General features: G+C 37.8%; 1 protein-coding gene across 2 annotated transcripts in view; it reads right to left on the bottom strand.

Moving 5' to 3' along the window:
• Positions 1–18,734, bottom strand: part of PASD1 (PAS domain containing repressor 1) — a 113,065-nt gene that overhangs the window by 58,079 nt on the left and 36,252 nt on the right. For both annotated transcript variants that reach the window (NM_173493.3, XM_011531102.3), the window contains exons 2-4: positions 17,080–17,134; positions 13,927–14,015; positions 6,908–6,997 (exon numbers count right to left, since the gene is read on the bottom strand). In NM_173493.3, coding sequence (NP_775764.2) covers positions 6,908–6,997; positions 13,927–14,015; positions 17,080–17,107 — 207 coding nt within the window. In that variant the 5' untranslated portion in view covers positions 17,108–17,134. The remainder of the gene's footprint in view (positions 1–6,907; positions 6,998–13,926; positions 14,016–17,079; positions 17,135–18,734) is intronic.

The following is an 18,734-nucleotide window of genomic DNA, read 5'->3' as shown; positions in this document are numbered from 1 at the left end:
CTCCTTGACATTCTCTTATTGCCTTTTTTGTTATCTGTTTATTATCTACCTTCCCCATTAAAATGTAAATTGCAGTATAACAGAGACCTTGCCTGTCTTATTCATTGCTATATCTTCAACACCTAGAACAGAGCTTGGCACTGGTAAGCACTCAGTAAATATTGGTTGAATGAATGAATAATACCGTATCATGTAGCTGAAATACGGTGAGACATGGATAAATTGAATATCAGATATAGAAGTAATGAGGCTTTAATGTGATAGCAACAAAGTAATAAAGTATTCCTTGTAGCTGAATAATGGCTTTGTGTGATGAACCACAAATTCCAATGATTTTTTAACTGATTAGCATTAATAATCTACAGTCACTATTTAGAAATATATCTTTATGGCCCATTTGTAGAAGCCAGCCTATGAACTGGTCAATGATCAAATTAGCAGACAGATGCTGTCTCAATCAAGCTTGGCTTGATTAAGGATAGAAATATTACCTTAATCTAGCAAACAAAACATTATGGAATTAACAGGCAATACATCTTGACAGTGAAAGTCACACAGTAAAATACTGACTTCCCAAAAGAAATGTAGATTTTTTTCACTAAATTTAACTTTTCAATAAAAACACTTTTGTTGGTTTAGTTATAAAATAGACTTTAGATGCCAAACTGGGTTACCTCTGTGGAGACCACTCATTCATTCACTCATCTAACACACGATAAACAATTGCTCCATGCCAGTCACTGTTCTAGGTATGTTCACATATACAAGCTCACTTAATCCCCTGGGAGAGTAAGAATTATCCCTTGTTTTATTCATCAGCAAATTAAGGCTTCTCCAATTGTTGAGAGTTCAGAAATGCAGAAATGAAACTGACATGAAAGCTCCATCCAATTCCATGTCTATTGTTCCTTTTACTACACCATAGCTGCCTCAAGTCCAGTTTGCATCAGGAACAGAAAATTTGCTACTGGACCAGTTCCTGTATTTTGGACATTCTACATGAAGTAATTCACTGAATAAGATTTTATACTTATTTCTTATAAGGGTTACAAAAGATGAACCTGACAACGAATTCCAATGAGCACATAGTCTAGTAGGGCAGATTAAATATGCACAATCAATTATGATGTAGAGTATAAAATAATACCCTAACAAGAGGTACAAAGTGCTATGTCTCGTAAGTTCTTTCATTAGTTGAAAAATGAAGATAGCATTGTCACTTAAAAGAGTTCAAAGTGAGCTATCTTTTGATAGTCTACATTCTCTTGGATGTGACTAGTGGTAATGAGTTTCTTATTGCCTCTCTAGGGATAGGAATAGTGACAATAAGCCTTATAATTAACCGCTAATTGAAACACTGGATCTGTTCCAGTGGCCTTGTTCCTTAGTTAGAAAAAGGGAGGAGACCTGAAAGCATGATCGACCTCATGTTATTTTTGTAAATTTTTAGCATTTGCTCTTCTTATTACACAAGGTAGAAAGATCAAGGTACTTAGAGCTTAATGAAGCAAGGATAAATACCAGCGAAAAACTAAGGTGGTTTTTCAAAAGCCAAGTTTGCAAATATCTATTAGTTGTCACACAAATATTAGTGTGGTGAGTCTCAGTCACGTCAAAAAAAGAAAGAATTAAGAAATTTACTGAGGACTTCATGACATTTACTGAGAACCTAGGCAAGAAGCATCTTTTTTCCTGCCAAAGACACTCATATTATACATGCATTAGAAAACTATTCAACTGTATAGGGCACAGGGAAGGATAAGATCCTCTGCAGGAGATTTAGGCAGCATCTCAAATCAAATGAGACTCATCACTACTAAATCTCTACTATGCGGTAAGCTTCTCAGGGAAAATAGGGCAAATCTCATCACAGTTATCACAAACTAACCATGTACCTATGTTCAAAACCTGCTAAGTTTTAATCTCTTAAAGATTCAATGCTGAGAATTTTTTCAGATGTAGTGTACGTTTTAAAAGTTTCATTTGCTTTAGAACTGCAAAAGAGAATAAATATATGTAAACTCCCAGATTTGATTTTATTTTCAGGGGGAATGACAGAGTAGGGTGAGTAGGAGGGCAGGCTGCTAAGAACAGGGGGCAGTGACTGGAACTTACTACTACAAATGACTATGAGTTTTTCCAAAGGAAAAAAAAAACTGTCAATGAAATCAATGATTGGGAAAATATGATGGCAGGTTTCAGATAAAAGTTTAATACCATGATCATGATGATAATGGGCATCATTTTATTCATGGTATGTGTTGTAACAGCATAACTTGGACACATCTTATCTCTGTGTCACACCCCTCTTCCAATACATCAGCAAAACAACTTATTTTACCTACAAAATGCTTCCACTGCCACATTAATCCAACCCACTACCATCTATGGCCCTCCAAGTGGACTCTGTACTTCCATGCCTGCCCCTCATAGCCAATTCTTGACATAACAGCCAAAGCGATTCTGATAAAACTTAAGTTAGATCATTTCTTTCATCTGCTCCAACCTCCCCAATGGCTTCCTCCCATCTCAGAGGAAAAGGGATGTTACTTCTCCTGTTACTGCTCTGACTTTATCATCTCTATTTTCCTTTTGCTCACAGCACTCCAGTTACACTGTCCTCTTTGCTGTACCTTTTCCTGCTTTCAGGCTCTTACATAAGCTTCCTCCTCTGTCTGAAAGACACTTGCTCCAGTTACCTGCATATCACACATACTCCATTCAGGTCTCTGTATAAATGTCACTGATCAGATGGGCCTTAGCCAATCACGTTATTTATACTAATTCATCTCCCAGCACTCTCTAAGTAATATTATTTCCCCACTTATAGAAGAGAAACTAAAGGTCAGGCAGTTAGAGAGAAACAAAGCTAAATTTTAATCTCTAGATTATTTGATTCCGAAGACCAAGTTCTTTCCATCACACCATGCTATTAGTTTGGAGTTGCTCCATAGACAGAGGTGCCCTGATATGTAATGAAACTGAAGATTCCTGGAGCCACGCAGACACTCTAGAAATGGTTCAGTCTCCATTTTATAATATAAGTTGGATGACTTATAAAATGAAATTTTTAATCAAAGCCTGAGAAAAAGATTGCCTGTTTTGAAAAATTAAGAACAGTTGGGATTCAATGAGGAAGTGTGAAACTATGCCTCAGGTGTAGTCGTTTTTAACCTTGTTTTATAGGAATATATAACTTAATTCCCATTTAATGTTTATGTACAAATGTAATAGTTATACATTTATTTTTAAGTACACTGATCTCAGGTAAATCAAGTCTATTGTTTAAGGCTGGCAGTTCAAAGCACATGTCCCAGACACCTCTCTAGACCTTGTGGTTTTGGGGGGCGTGTGTGTGTGTGGTACCTCAAATGTTGAAGGGTGAAAGAGCTTCTTGATAGGGAAAACTTTGAACCAAATACATAAAGAAGCAAGATCATATCATAACTAACACCATCACTATGATAAATCTTCACATAATAAGAAAAAGTCACCAGTCTCAGCCAATGACCAATTTGGTTTAAGCAATATCTGATGCCACAAGAATTTGGGTGGTTTTCTGGTCTTCATTATAATAAAATTTAAGCTGTAGTGGATCATACTCGTACATTCCCTCTTTTAATATATATTTTAAAAGACTCTTTTCCTTCTATGATTTAAATATACTAAAGTGCAATCCAATAAATATCTCTACTATTTCATTTAGCTGTTTTGGTATCCTACAAATATAAGCTGAATTTGGAAATGTAAACTGTTTTTTTAAAAAATGAAAGAGAATGAGAAATAAAAGAGATCGATTCTAGCATCTGTAATTTTTTTTAAAAGGGTATAAGGACTCTGAGCTTCCAAGAAGGCCACGGAACATGCCAACTGGCCTGGCTAAAATAGTGACATATTTTTAATCCACTTCCAACCTAACTACAAGATAATCTAACCTAGCTTCTATTAATTTCCATGTTCCAAATTTGAGTACTATAGATTTCTGGATTAGGGTTTGTCAAGTTCTTGAGACAACTCTGTGGAATGAGGAATATGTAATGAAAACAACAACGGAGATATGATTGTTTTACACTACTACCATTAGTGAATAGGGGTTTCAATTTCTTCATATCCTCTCCCAAAACTTTTTGCTAACACAACCATGCCAATGGCAGACAGTTTGTGTGGGAGGGTTGTTGGTAAATGTATTCTAGGTAACCCCTCTTCAAACACACGTATAAGTGGAATATGAAGGCCTTGCTACAGATTGAATGTTTATGTCCCCCAAAAATTTATATATTGAAGTAATCTAGCTGTCAATGTGATGGTATTATATTAAGAGGTGGGGCCTTTGGAGATGATTAATGGGATTAGTATCCTTATAAAAGAAACCCCTAGGCTGGGCATGGTGGCTCACGCTTTTAATCCCAGCACTTTGGGAGGCCGAGATGGGCGGATCGCTTGAGGTCAGGAGTTCGAGACCAGCTTGGCCAACATGGTGAAACCCCGTCTCTATTAAAAATACAAAAATTAGCCAGGCGTGGTGATGCGTGCCTATAATCCCTGCTACTCAGGAGGCTGAGGCAGGAGAATCACTTGAACCCAGGAGGCAGAGGTTGCAGTGAGCCGAGATCGCACCATTGCACTCCAGCCTGGGTGACAAGAGTGAGACCCAATCTTAAAAAAAAAAAAGAGCTCCCTCGCTTCTTCTACTATATGAAGTTATAGTAAGAATAAGGATGTCTATGAAGCAGAGATTGGGCCCTCACTAGACACCAAATCTCTTGGCACCTTAATCTTCGACTTCTCAGACTCTAAAACTATAAAATATAAATTTGTGTTGTTTACAAAGACACCCAATCTATAGTACTCTGAAACCAATGGAAATGACAATAAAACAGGGACACATTTTGACAACATTGAAAACATCTTCTCTGATGAGCTTTATGCTTCTGAAAATACCCCAAAACCTCCTTAAGCTGATAAGCAATTTCAGCAAAGTCTCAGGATACAAAATCAATGTGCAAAAATCACCAGCATTCTCATACACCAATATCAGACAAACAAGAGAGCCAAATCATGAGTGAACTCCCATTCGCAATTGCTTCAAAGTGAATAAAATACCTAGGAATCCAACTTACAAGGGATGTGAAGGACCTCTTCAAGGAGAACTACAAACCACTGCTCAAGGAAATAAAAGAGGATACAAACAAATGGAAGAACATTCCATGCTCATGGGTAGGAAGAATCAATATCGTGAAAATGGCCATACTGCCCAAGGTAATTTATAGATTCAATGCCATCCCCATCAAGCTACCAAGGACTTTCTTCACAGAATTGGAAAAAACTACTTTAAAGTTCATATGGAACCAAAAAAGAGCCCACATTGCCAAGTCAATCCTAAGCCAAAAGAACAAAGCTGGAGGCATCATACTACCTGACTTCAAATTATACTACAAGGCTACAGTAACCAAAACAGCATGGTACTGGTACCAAAACAGAGATATAGACCAATGGAACAGAACAGAGCCCTCAGAAATAATGCCACGTATCTACAACTGTCCGATCTTTGACAAACCTGACAAAAACAAGAAGTGGAGAAAGGATTCTCTATTTAACAAATGGTGCTGGGAAAACGGGCTAGCCATATGTTGAAAGCTGAAACTGGATCGCTTCCTTACACCTTATACAAAAATTAATTCAAGATGGTTTAAAGACTTAAATGTTAGACCTAAAACCATAAAAACCCTAGAAGAAAACCTAGACAATACCATTCAGGACATAGGCATGGGCTAGGACTTCATGTCTAAAACACCAAAGGCAATGGCAACAGAAGCCAAAATTGACAAATGGAATCTAATTAAACTAAAGAGCTTCTGCACAGCAAAAGAAACTACCATCAGAGTGAACAGGCAACCTACAGAACGGGAGAAAATTTTTGCAATCTACTCATCTGACAAAGGGCTAATATCCAGAATCTACAATGAACTCAAACAAATTTACAAGAAAAAAACAAACAGCCCCATCAACAAGTGGGCGAAGGATATGAACAGACACTTCTCAAAAGAAGACATTTATGCAGCCAAAAGACACATGAAAAAATGCTCAGCATCACTGGCCATCAGAGAAATGCAAATCAAAACCACAACGAGATACCATCTCTCACCAGTTAGAATGGCGATCATTAAAAAGTCAGGAAACGACAGGTGCTGGAGAGGATGTGGAGAAATAGGAACACTTTTACACTGTCGGTGGGACTGTAAACTAGTTCAACCATTGTGGAAGTCAGTGTGGCGATTCCTCAGGGATCTAGAACTAGAAATACCATTTGACCCAGCCATCCCATTACTGGGTATATACCCAAAGGATTATAAATCATGCTGCTATAAAGACACACGCACTCGTATGTTTACTGTGGCACTATTCACAATAGCAAAGACTTGGAACCAGCCAAATGTCCAACATGATAGGCTGGATTAAGAAAATGTGGCACATATACAACAGGGAATACTATGCAGCCATAAAAAAGGATGAGTTCATGTCCTTTGTAGGGACATGGATGAAGCTGGAAACCATCATTCTCAGCAAACTATGGCAAGGACAAAAAACCAAACACCGCATGTTCTCACTCATAGGTGGGAATTGAACAATGAGAACACATGGACACAGGAAGGGGAACATCACACACTGGGGCCTGTTGTAGGGTGGGGGGAGGGGGGAGGGATAGCATTAGGAGATACACCTAATATTAAATGAAGAGTTAATGGGTGCAGCACACCAACATGGCACATGTATCCATATGAAACAAACCTGCACGTTGTGCACATGTACTCTAAAACTTAAAGTATAATAAAAAAAGAAAATAAATAATGAACCCCTAAACAACAAACCAGAATGATCCACTTTCCCAAAAGTAGAAAGAACTTACTGGTAAATGTCCAAGAAGAGAAGAGATGTTTTCAGCCACACAAATGATCACTCCATCTGTGCTCAGTGTAATCATAAAGCCATCTAATAACTAATGACGAGAGAATAATAATGTAATTAAATAGTGGAACAATAATAAAATGATAGTTTTATTGCTAAATGCATAGATAATTATAATAGCACACTGAAATGCACCCCAGTCCTTAAATATCAATAAAGTAGGCACAGACTTAATTAAAATTCCATTATTCTGCCTCCTACACAGAATCTACTTAACCTTAAGCATGAAATGTTTATCAAATGATGTGTCACTTAAACAAATTTCAATGTACACCCAATTAACATGAAATTCTCCAATGCAAGCTAAGAAGATTCATTTCCATGTGTAGGTTGTTTCACTTTAAGAACACTTAATTTCAAAAATGTTAAAAATATTTTAAGGACACTTTCATTTGTGGTTAGGTTAGTCATCTCCTTATAAATATGGATATTGCCATCACTTTCCTGCTGTATGATGGATTCAATAGCCAGACAAATGCCTCCTGGTAGAGAATATCTAAAATGATGAATAAAATAGATTAAAACTTATTTTTCAAAACAGGACCAAGCTACTGGTAAAGTAAGGGAAATAACCTGATATCAGAAATGACTAGATTGTGAGAATTAAGACACTGGAGAATATTAGACCCTGTATTTGCCTTGAGACTATCTTCCAACACTGATAGCCTAGAGCTTGGGGGACAAAAGCAAAGCCGAGGCCTGTACAAGGTAGGAGGTGAAATCAAAGACCACAGTACAAAGCCAGGTCTCCAAAAGGGAGACACTTTCAACAGGTAAAACAGAAAAATCTTATCCAGTGAAAGGAGACAGGGAATGTGCATGTCTGCCTCAGCCTCCATCCTGGGAAGAGTAGGAAAAGAGAAAATAGTCAACTTTAGGAGGTACTAAGCAGAAGCCCACCTTCACACAAACTTGGAGCTAGAATTCATATACTACCTGTGTGGCCCTCAACAACCAAAGTCTAATATTTAGTTTAAAGTGATCCTGACCCCATATGTCTAATAAAAGGAAATCAAAATCACATCTAGAGAATTATTTTAAAGTGAGGGTTCAAAGAATTCATGTAGATAAAATTACAAATAATATGAGCTTATAATAAAAATAAAACACAGGAAGAGATGAAGCATTACGAATAAGAGGCAACAGACATAATAAAATAAAGAATCATATTTAAAAATAACTTATTGGAATTATCAGATACAGAATACAAAATAAGTATGCTTAATAGGCTTAAATAAATAACACAGGGCACTAGAAATATGAAGAAACAAGAGACTCAAAACTGACTCGTGAGATATAAAACATAATCAAACAAAATGTCTATAGATGATATTGTCATCAAAATTAGAAACTTAATGTATAGGTTAAGTAGCATGTTAGAACACAGCCAGAAATAAAATTTTTGAGCTGGAAAGAGCTGAGGAAATGACTCAGAATGTAACACAAGGAGATACAAATGGAAAAATAAGATAAATTCATTTCATGGAGAAGAGAATCAGAAAGTCCAACATATGTCTGATCAGTGTTCCTGAAGGAGATAATATAACAGAGAAGAGGAAATACTCAGTGAGATATAGGTGGAAAATTATCCAGAAGTAATAAAATACACCAATCTTAAGATTCAGGAAGCCCAAATAATTGAAGCAGGATTCTCTATTTGTATAAAGTCATGAACTCCTCAAACCCATTAGGATGGGCTATGATTAAAACAAAACAAATAGTTTTGGGACAAGATATGAAGAAATTGAAACCCCTATGCACTATTGATGGTAGTATAAAATGACAAAGCTGCTATAGAAAACTCTACGGCAGTCTCTCAAATAACTAAACATAGAACTATCATGTGATTCAGCATTTCCACTTCTGAGTGTATAGTGAAAAAAAAAAAAAACACCCTGAAAGCAGGGACTCAAACAGGTATGTGTACACCTATGCTCACAGAAGCATTATTCATAATGGCCAAAAGGTGTAAACAATCTAAGTGTCCAACAGATGAATGTATAACCAAAATGCGTAACAAACAACAAAATATTATTCAGCCTTAAAAGGAAAGAGAATTTTGCCACATACTACAACATGGATGAAACATGAAGATATTATACTAAGCGAAACATGTCACAAAAGGACATTACTGTATGATTCCATTTATATGAAGTTCCTAGGATAGCCAAATTGATAGATGCAGAAAGTAGAAAGGTGGTTACCAGGAACTGGGAGAAAGTGAGAATGGGGAGTTATTGTTTGAGTACAGAGTTTCAGTTACGCAAGATTTTCAAAGCTGGAAATGGATGGTGGTGATGGTTGCACAATAATGTGAATGTACTTAATGCCACTGAATTCTACATTTAAAAGTGATTAAACGGTAAATTCGTGTTATATACATTTTACCGTAATAAAAAAATAGGCCAAATAATAAGTAATAATGGAGATTACAAAGTATTTATAATAGAATAATTTTTTAAACACTATTTATTGAGACCTGTGAAAAGCAGCTAAAACAACACTTGGGAATCTTCGCCTAAATGTATATATTAGAAAAGAAAATTGGTTACAAATCAATGAATTAAATAATCTAAAATTGTTAGAGAACAAAAAATGAACCCCAAAAAGTAGAAAAAAGTAAATAATAAAAATAAGAGCAGAAATTAATAAAACAAAAAATAATGACACAATGGACAGAATCAAGAATGTTAAAAGTCAATTCTTTGAAAAGAACATTAAAATCGACAAACCTCTGGTAAGATGAATCATGGGGCAAAAAACACAAACAATATTAGGAGTGAAAAGTGGATATCATTACAGAAGCTTTAGACATTATGAAGATAAGAGAATATTATGAACAACTTTATGCCAATAAATTTGAAAGCAAGTCTTAAAAACATATAAATTGCAAAAAGTGACTTGGGAAGAAGTAAAAAATATAACCAATCACATCATCATTAAAGAATGAAATCACTAGTTTAGAATATTCTCTTATCTTTGTGATGTTTCTCCTTCATGGCATACACAAGAAATAACTCAAAAAGTATGAACACATTAAATATAATAGATAAAACGTTAAAGCTTTTAAAATAAAATATAAGAGAATATATTTATTACCTTGTGGTAGGTAAGGATTTTTTAAACAGGAAAGTAAACACCCTTTGATTGGTAAATTTGATTACTTTAAAATTAATAATTTGTCAAAAGTCACCTTAAATTGTGAAAAGGCAAGCTACAAACTAGAACAAGAATTTTGCAACACATAACTAGCAAGTGATTCGTTTCCAGAATCTATTTTAAAAATCTCCAACATATGAATAATTAGAAAGAACAATACCATAAGAAACTGAGCAAAGGCTAGAAACAAGCATCTCATAGAAGAGGAAACACAAGTGGCCTCAAAATTGGTGAAAAGAGGCTCATTGTCATTTGTAATGAAACAAGACGCCATTCCATTCCCACCCAATTGACAAAAATTTAAAAATTAGACAATAAATTGTTAGCAAGGATGTGGAGCAATAAGAACTTTCATCCACTACTACTAAGAATATAAAAGAACAGTGAAATACACAGTGAAACAGAGTCACTTGAAAAGCATTGTCATTTTCATGTAGAGGGAGCGACCCTACCACTCCACCCTACCCTCCAGCAATCTCACTCCTAGACATACACCTAGAAACACTCTTGCTTATATGGAAGAGGATATATGAACAAAAACGTTCAAACCAAACCTGCTCACAATAACAAAAACCTACAGCTATACCAGACTCAGTTTATGCGCCTCCTCAAGATTCATACCCCATCCCACCCTCAATCAAGCCAGGGATGTTAGCTTTGCTTTTGCAGTCCCAACCTAGTCTCCTAACTCCGCCAGCACTAGGTGCTTCAGTATCCATCCAAAGGGACTGGATTCATGAAGGCAGTAACTTCATCCACCTCGGAGCATGGGATCTGGGTTCCCCATTGGGTTTCCAGAAAAGCCAGGTAACCCAAAGGACAGAATTGCTAACATCCTGGGTGTGACTTTTGACTAATGACAGGAGAAAGAAAGGAACTGGTAGATACAGTATTTTCCCTTCCTCCCCTATACAGACTATTTCAAGGTGTGGTGCCTTTTACATAGTTTTAAGAGTGACTGAACAACCCGCTGTGTGTTCTTGTGAAGCTCTATCCAGCTTGGTAATAAACTACCCTATATTTCAGTTCCCTTCTTCCCTGCCTTACTTTCCCCCTCACCCTCGCTATCCTGAGATTGCATATCCCACTAAAACCTTAGCATATAAATTTTGCTTCAGCCTCTACTTCCTAAGGAGCATGAGCTAAAACAGATTTCTAGTGCCCATCAACAGCAAAATGGGTAAGTAATTGTGTAGTATGTTCTAACAAGAATACAGAAGTAAAAATGAATGCACTAGAGTTACATGCAATATCATGGATGAATTGAAAAAGAAAGGTTGAGCAAAAATATCAAGTCAGAGAAGAATACATCCAATATAATTCCATTTATATAAAGGTGAAAATCATGCAAAAGAAAACAACATATCACTTAGAGATGCATACACATGTCCTAAAAATACAAAGCAAAGCAAAGAAATATTGATACAGAACTCAGGAAATAGTAGGGAAGAAGTGGTGTGGAAGAAGAAGATTACGACAAAGGGATTTCAAAGGATCTGGTAATGCTCTATTTCTTAAGCTCGGTGTCACCTGTACTATTTTTTTAAGTGTTACTATATGTTATGTATATTTTTGTAAGATAAAATTTTAAGTAAAAACTTTTAAAACTGGGTGTTTGCTATTTCCCATTAGACATCAAAAGATGACATCCAAAATTGCCACATGCCTGAAGTGACCTCCCAAACACATAGGTTCAGAAAAGAGTCTAGGCAGATCTGGTAAGGCACTTTGCTTCTCTACTCATTTTCTGTATGTCTGCTTGCTTTTGGCATTTTGATTACCACATTCTCTACTGAGACGGTTTGCTCTGAGTTAGTCTGGACCCCCATGGGCTGGAGTGTAAGTGAGAAAACATGGTGTGCTACTCGGCTGTGCTACTCAACAGGTCTTGGATTTGGGCAAGGTGCAAGCTCTCCCAGCTTTGGTCTCCTCTTTCCTGCAGTAAAAGGGATCAACATCATTATTAAGTTAATCATAGGCTTCTTATGAGGATGAAATCGGCTACTCTACATGAGAGCACAGTGTAGGTTGTTATGCAGATGTCAGGAGGCTGTTACGTTTGACCAACAGTATGGCAAACAGGAAGGAAACATCCAAAGCTAAGTCACTGCTCTGAAATACAAGCCATAAGAAACAAAGTCACCTTGCTCTCTTGCCCTCCAAACCCCGCTTTCTTTCATGCTTCAAAAGAATGGCCAAAGCTGTAATGAAACTGGAAAGTGAAGAGAAAGAGCCCTCTACTGTCCCTCTTCTCAGATTCCCTGATGTTTCCATCTCCCTGGTTGAAGTCAGCTCTGATTAGCCAGACTGGGCTTGTTTATTTCAAGAAAAAACTTCATGAATAAAGAATAAAGAACAGACTTTTCTAGGGAAGTTATTAAAGCCTAATGGAGGGGAAAAAAGTGGAAAGGAGGGAATTACCCAAGAAATTCTGATCCTTCCACTTGAATGCCATATGTTCTGTAGTTGTGAACATAATTATCCCTCTAGGGTGTATTTATACCTTGTCTAGCTTCTAAAATATTTCAAATAAGCATCTGGTTTCATAAAATTGGTAACAGGATTTCACATAACACATTTTAAGTCCTCTATTTAGCAAATATTTGTGTATAGGATTCCTAAAACAAAACCTCTAATAAAATTGAGAGAGAGTCAGGTGCAGTGGCTCACGCATGTAATCCCAGCACTTTGGGAGGCCAAGGTGGATCGCTTGAGCCCAGGAGCTTGGGAGACCAGCCTGGGTGACAGAGTGAGATGTAATGAAACATAATGAGCTGAACATAGTAGTGTGCACCTCTGGTCCCAGCTACTTTGGGGGCTGAGTTGGGGGAATTGCTTGGGCCCAGAAGTTTGAGGCTGCAGTGAGCCACAATCACACAACTGCACTCCAACCTGGATGACACAGTGAGACCCTGTGTCACAAAAAAAAGTGAGAGTCTGTTTCTTAAAAGGAAGAAAAATGAAGTAGAATATTACAATATGGCTCCATTCATTCACAGTCAGAATTTTGCCCCTAACATTGGGATAGGTTTGAAAAGATTCACTCACACAATGCCTTTCTCACACACCTTTATGACCACTAATGGTCATAGTGCTGGGTGGTCAGCCAGTACTGAAGGAGAAAAGGGACTGGACGGATAATTTCCAGGCGTCTAATATTGCCAAACGCTGTACTATATATTTTACACATGTTCACTTTATTTTATTCTCACATCATCTCAATGAGATAAAGATAATTTTTACCCATTTTAAAGAGAAAGAAATCAAGGCTCAGAGATGGTAATTCAGTCAAGACATACAGCAAGTAAGGGACAAAGGCAAAATCTGTATCCCTGTCTGTCCCACTCAAAGGAATATGGTTCTTCAGAGTGCAGTTTGTGGCTTGTGAAACTAACCAGTTCTCTTGGAGACAGAAACTATAAACACCTTACATTCTTGAGGGGGGAGAAACTACTTGAAGGCTAATTCATTAGAGTATAACCATCTATGTTGAACTAGTCTACCAGATAACCACTTAACTTGCCACTAACCTATGCGAAGACTTGTTTGTGTTTGTTGTCACTCAAAATCAGTGGTTCTCAAAACTCAGTTGGCATAGGAAGCATCCAGGGAGCTTGAGAGAAATGCAAACTCCCGGCCCTAACAGGTTTGAGAGTCTGATTCAGACGATTTAAGTTATCAAGCTCCCTGGTTGATTCTAATGCATATGATCTCCTAATCACACTTTGACAAACACTATTCTTTGTCTTCTATTACATGTATTCAACATATGAAGTAATCAAAGAACAAAAGCCCTCTTACCTGTAGCGTCACTTGGTTGAAGTAATCATAGGTAGGAAATGATGGAATCCAGTTTAATTTCCTTTGAGAGCTTTTTGGATTGACTTTGTCTTTTTAGAAAAAGGAAGAAAGTACAGAACAGTGTCACATTAAAATGATTAGCTATGGGTATTAGATTTTTCAAAGTTATACTTAATTTATAGAAAAGACTCTTATGAGAAAATGCTGAGTGCTAATGAAGGATCTGATGTTGGCTAACTAATTGTATATAAATGATCATAAACCCAGAAGTGTTTGGAATTGAAAAAGACTTTGAAGATCATCCAACTCAATTTCTACCACACACATTATGACCTGTCCAACAATTTTATGATTTTTCAACTTCTAGTTCTTTTTTTCCTCTTGAATTCTACCAAAACCCAGTATCCATAATCTGCCAGGTAAGTCAAGGGGTTCTAAGCAGATCCAGACTCCCAAAGCCCTTCCCTAGTCCTAACTAAATTATGAAATTCCACTCTTTAGCTTCATCTATTTAAGCTTTGCACAAGGTTCCTTAACTAGAATATCTTCAAGCCTTATCTTTTATCTCTTCAAAGCTCCTGGTACTGTCCTCTCCCCCATCTGTCCTATCACATTCTTCAGGGTTTTCTGGTTTCCTCAATGAGAAGTGTGTTTCTGCTCCTGTGCTTAGTCTTTGCTGTCAACATGTGCTCCTCTCTACCTCCCCAACTCCACCCTACTCCACTAACTTCACTAGCAAAGGGACTTCACTAACACAGCCCTCCAATCTCAAGTGATTTTAATGCTTCATGTCAATAAACATTAGTTCCTTCTCCTCACAGAAAAATGAGACCCATAGCATACAACTTTGATCTCTATTAAAAATGTAAAATCCTATGACAAGGATAATGTTGACAGTGGCTATTGCTTTCTTGACAGGCATGAGTCTCTGACTCTTTCCTAGGAGTAGAGTTGGGTAAGAGGGAGGCCATGCATAAAGAGAGCTTTAGAGCCCTCACTGATGAGGGAATGAAAATAGGGTGTGTAACTGGGTGTGAAATAGGAGTAACATGAAAAGTAAACCATGCCAACTGCATAAATGAGTCAGGATCAGTGATCCTGACCACTGTCCCAGCTTGGAAACTCAATTCTAGGCATAGCTCTTCAAACTCAAGAAACAACCCATGACACTCTTCCATAGTCAATTTCTGAAGAAATTTCTCCATTGCCTTCCAGTTCCATCTCATAACTTTCATCTCCTAGACTTCATTCAAAGAAATAAAAAAGAGAGGGGAGTTCATATATTGCCAAGAAAGGATAACCACTGTATTTTATAAATAAATCATAAAGGACTTTTCTACTTTACTATTACCCATGAACTTGTTTTTGTTTATTCTCTAAGGTGTGCATCATATCCAGTTCTTCATCATATCCCCAACGTCTAACATAGTACTTAGGTCATGGCAGGGATTCAGTACCTGTTGTTAAAGTGAACCTCTTTTATTCATTTATTTAACGAATGTTTACAGAGCTCCTGCTATGGGTCATATTCTGCTTTACAGGTTTAGGATATAGCATAAACAAGAAAAATAAGGTGACTGTTCTTTTGTATCTTACAGACTGACGGGGCAGCGTAGACAGATAATCAACACATAGACAACAGAACAGACAGTTTCAGGTATCTGCAAGTACAATAATTCGTAAGATCGGGTGATCAAGAAAAGCCTTACTAGGAAGGTATTAGGAAGGTAACATCTGAGCTAAGATTTGATTGACAAGAAAGCAACCATGTGAAGACACGGGACCAAACCGTCTCAGGGAGATGAAACAGTAAGTGCAACATGAAACAGGAAATCATTTTGCCTATTTAAAGAGATGACAAGATCCCAGAGTGGCTGCAGTGGGATGACCAGGGGTTAAAGCAGTAGGAAGTGAAGCCTGAGAGACAGGAAGGGCCAGATCATGTAGGGTATATGGTAAGAAGTTGGTATTTTATGCTGAGTAAAACATGAAGTGCTTTTAATTCTTCTTCTTCTTCTTCTTATTATTATTATTATTTTGAGATGGAGTCTTGCTCTGTCTCCCAGGCTGGAGTGCAGTGGCGCAATCTCAGCTCACTACAACCTCCGCCTTCCAGGTTCAAGCCATTGTCTTGCCTCAGCCTCCCGAGTAGCCGGGACTACAGGTACCTGCCATCACACCCAGTTAATTTTTTGTATTTTTAGTAGAGACGGGGTTTCACCACGTTGGCCAGGCTGGTCTTGAACTCCTGACCTCAGGTGATCCACCCACCTCGGCCTCCCAAAGTGCCAAGATGACAGGTGTGAGCCAGCGTGCCCAGCCCATGAAGTGCTTTTAAGCAGGAGAGTGACATGTTAGGTTTTTACAAGATCCCTATGGTTGTTTGTTACAAACAGAATAAAGTGGGTAGCAAAGATAGAGGCAGAATCTAGCTATGAACCTTCATCAAAAGTAAGAGATGAAGGAGTGGGGAGATGTTGGACAAAGGATATAAGATTTCAGTTAGAGTAAGTTCAAGAGTTCTATTGCACATCATGGTGACTACAGTAAATAACAGTATATTGTACACTTGAGAATTGCTAAGAGAGTAGATTTTATGTGGTCTCATCAGAAAAAGTTAAGTATGTGAGGTAATGCATATATCAATTAGCTGGATTTAGCCATTCCACAATGTATCAAATGTATCCATTGGATACCACAGATCATACTGCAAACTTTTGACAAAAACTTTTTGATCAGTGTACTTGAATTTATTTTAGAAGTTTGATCTGGAAAAGTAAGTTAATTTATCTTCTCAAACACAAATGAATTTAAGCTGTAGGCAAGCCAAGGCTCAAAAACTGTCTTCTAAAAATATCAGGGACTGTATACTTGTCAGTCATTTGACAACCCTTAGAGTCAGCTCTGGGCAGGCACTGTGCAAGGCATGGAGGACACAGTTTGAGGAAGAGGGCTGTCAGGTAAACAGGTGATGTGCTAAGTATTATAATAGAGCTGGAGCTGAGAGTTATGAAAAAAAAACACTGGAGAAACCACATTTCTCTGAGTGAATCAGGCTTCCCTGAGGAAGTAGCATTTTGCTAGATGTGAAACGGGAACACAGGACGAGGGAGAGGGCTTTGACAGAAATGTCAGTCAGTTATGAATGCATACCTCTTCTCTTTTCCCCTCTCATCTTCATTCATTATTCAGTGACGTAGGAAGACTCCTGAAATCAAAGTGAAGCAACATTTTACTAAGAGATCAGTCTATGGTGAATCACAGTAAAGCAATAAGACTAATCAAAATTCTCAATTGTGTAACACTTTTCCCTCAAGGAATGTCTACTTCTTTTAAAGATAGGCTTTCATTAAGTACCAATAACACTCTCATATGTTATGTAGATGTTGAAGACTTGCTTTATTGCATAATCCCCAATGAATATTTTTGATAATAACATTACAAATGAATATATTTGTAAAAGTTACAAAAACATTCTGTGGTTACACCACTTAACCAAAAAAAAAACCAAATATTTGTATTTTAATTCCATACCCTTAATTTGTGTTTTAATTCCATACCCTTAAATTCATTTAACTTTCACTAACTTTGAGAAAATTTAAGGAAATGAAGACAGATGCAGTTTGAAAGCTTCATGCCAAGCGTGTACATGCCACAAAAGGGAAAAATTTGCATTATTGTTGATGTTCACAGAAATCCTTGACATATAAAACAATAGCCCTGAAATCACTGAAGTCCTCTGCTTTGAGCTATACAATTAGACTCACACATCACCTCAAGGCCAAAGCCTCAAGGTAGATGTCAATGGCATCCCAATACATATGTGTTACAAAAAAGTGATTAAAATATAGCAAACATCCTTTAAATGTTCTCTAAGTAAGGGAAAGTTCAGGGAGTCAAACACTGGAACGGTACTGAGCACAAAATATGAACCCGTGCTTGGTGTTAATGCTCTCCTAGATAAAAAATAACCTGAACAGGGAAGTGAAACTAAAAATCACCACCTCTCCCTATGTATAGCCAGAACTCCCAGAGGCTAACATTACATTGAAAAGAAAAATTGGATAAAAAATAACCCAAACAGCGAAGTGGAATTAAAACTCACCACCTCTCCCTACATGTAGCCAGGACTCCCAGAGGCTAACATTACATTGAAAAAAAAAATCCTCCTACCAACAAAAGAAGAAAACAGGAAGCTTGTCTGTCTCAGCATGTTCTCTGGGTACAGGAGAAAAGACACCACCATACTGAATCAACCTTGGGGTTCCAGAAAAAGCAAAGATAAACCCCTTCTGGAGACATACTTTCTAAAGACAGATTCCACAGAATTTCCACAAATAAGGCACTGTTGAAGATGAGCTCACCATTCAAAATTAGAAAATACATAAGGAAATAATCTCTCCCCCTCCCCCTCCCCCTCTCTCGCTCCCGTCTCCCTCTTTGCACGGTCTCCCTCTCCCTCTCCCTCGTCTCTCTCTTTGCACGGTCTCCCTCTGATGCCGAGCTAAGGCTGGACTGTACTGCCACCATCTCGACTCACTGCAACCTCCCTGACTGATTCTCCTGCCTCAGCCTGTCGAGTGCCTGGGATTGCAGGCGCACGCCGCCACGCCTGACTGGTTTTCGTATTTTTTGGTGGAGACGGGGTTTCGCCTTGTTGGCCGGGCTGGTCTCCAGCTCCTGACCGCGAGTGATCTGCCAGCCTCGGCGTCCCGAGGTGCCGGGATTGCAAACAGAGTCTCGCTCACTCAGTGCTCAATGTTGCCCAGGCTGGTGTGCAGTGGCGTGATCTCGGCTCGCTACAACCT

Source organism: Homo sapiens, chromosome X, assembly GCF_000001405.40.
Source record: "Homo sapiens chromosome X, GRCh38.p14 Primary Assembly".
Taxonomy (NCBI): Eukaryota; Metazoa; Chordata; class Mammalia; order Primates; family Hominidae; genus Homo; species Homo sapiens.
The sequence above is the reverse complement of the archived record's forward strand: the minus strand, read 5'-3'. Positions and strand labels throughout refer to the sequence as shown.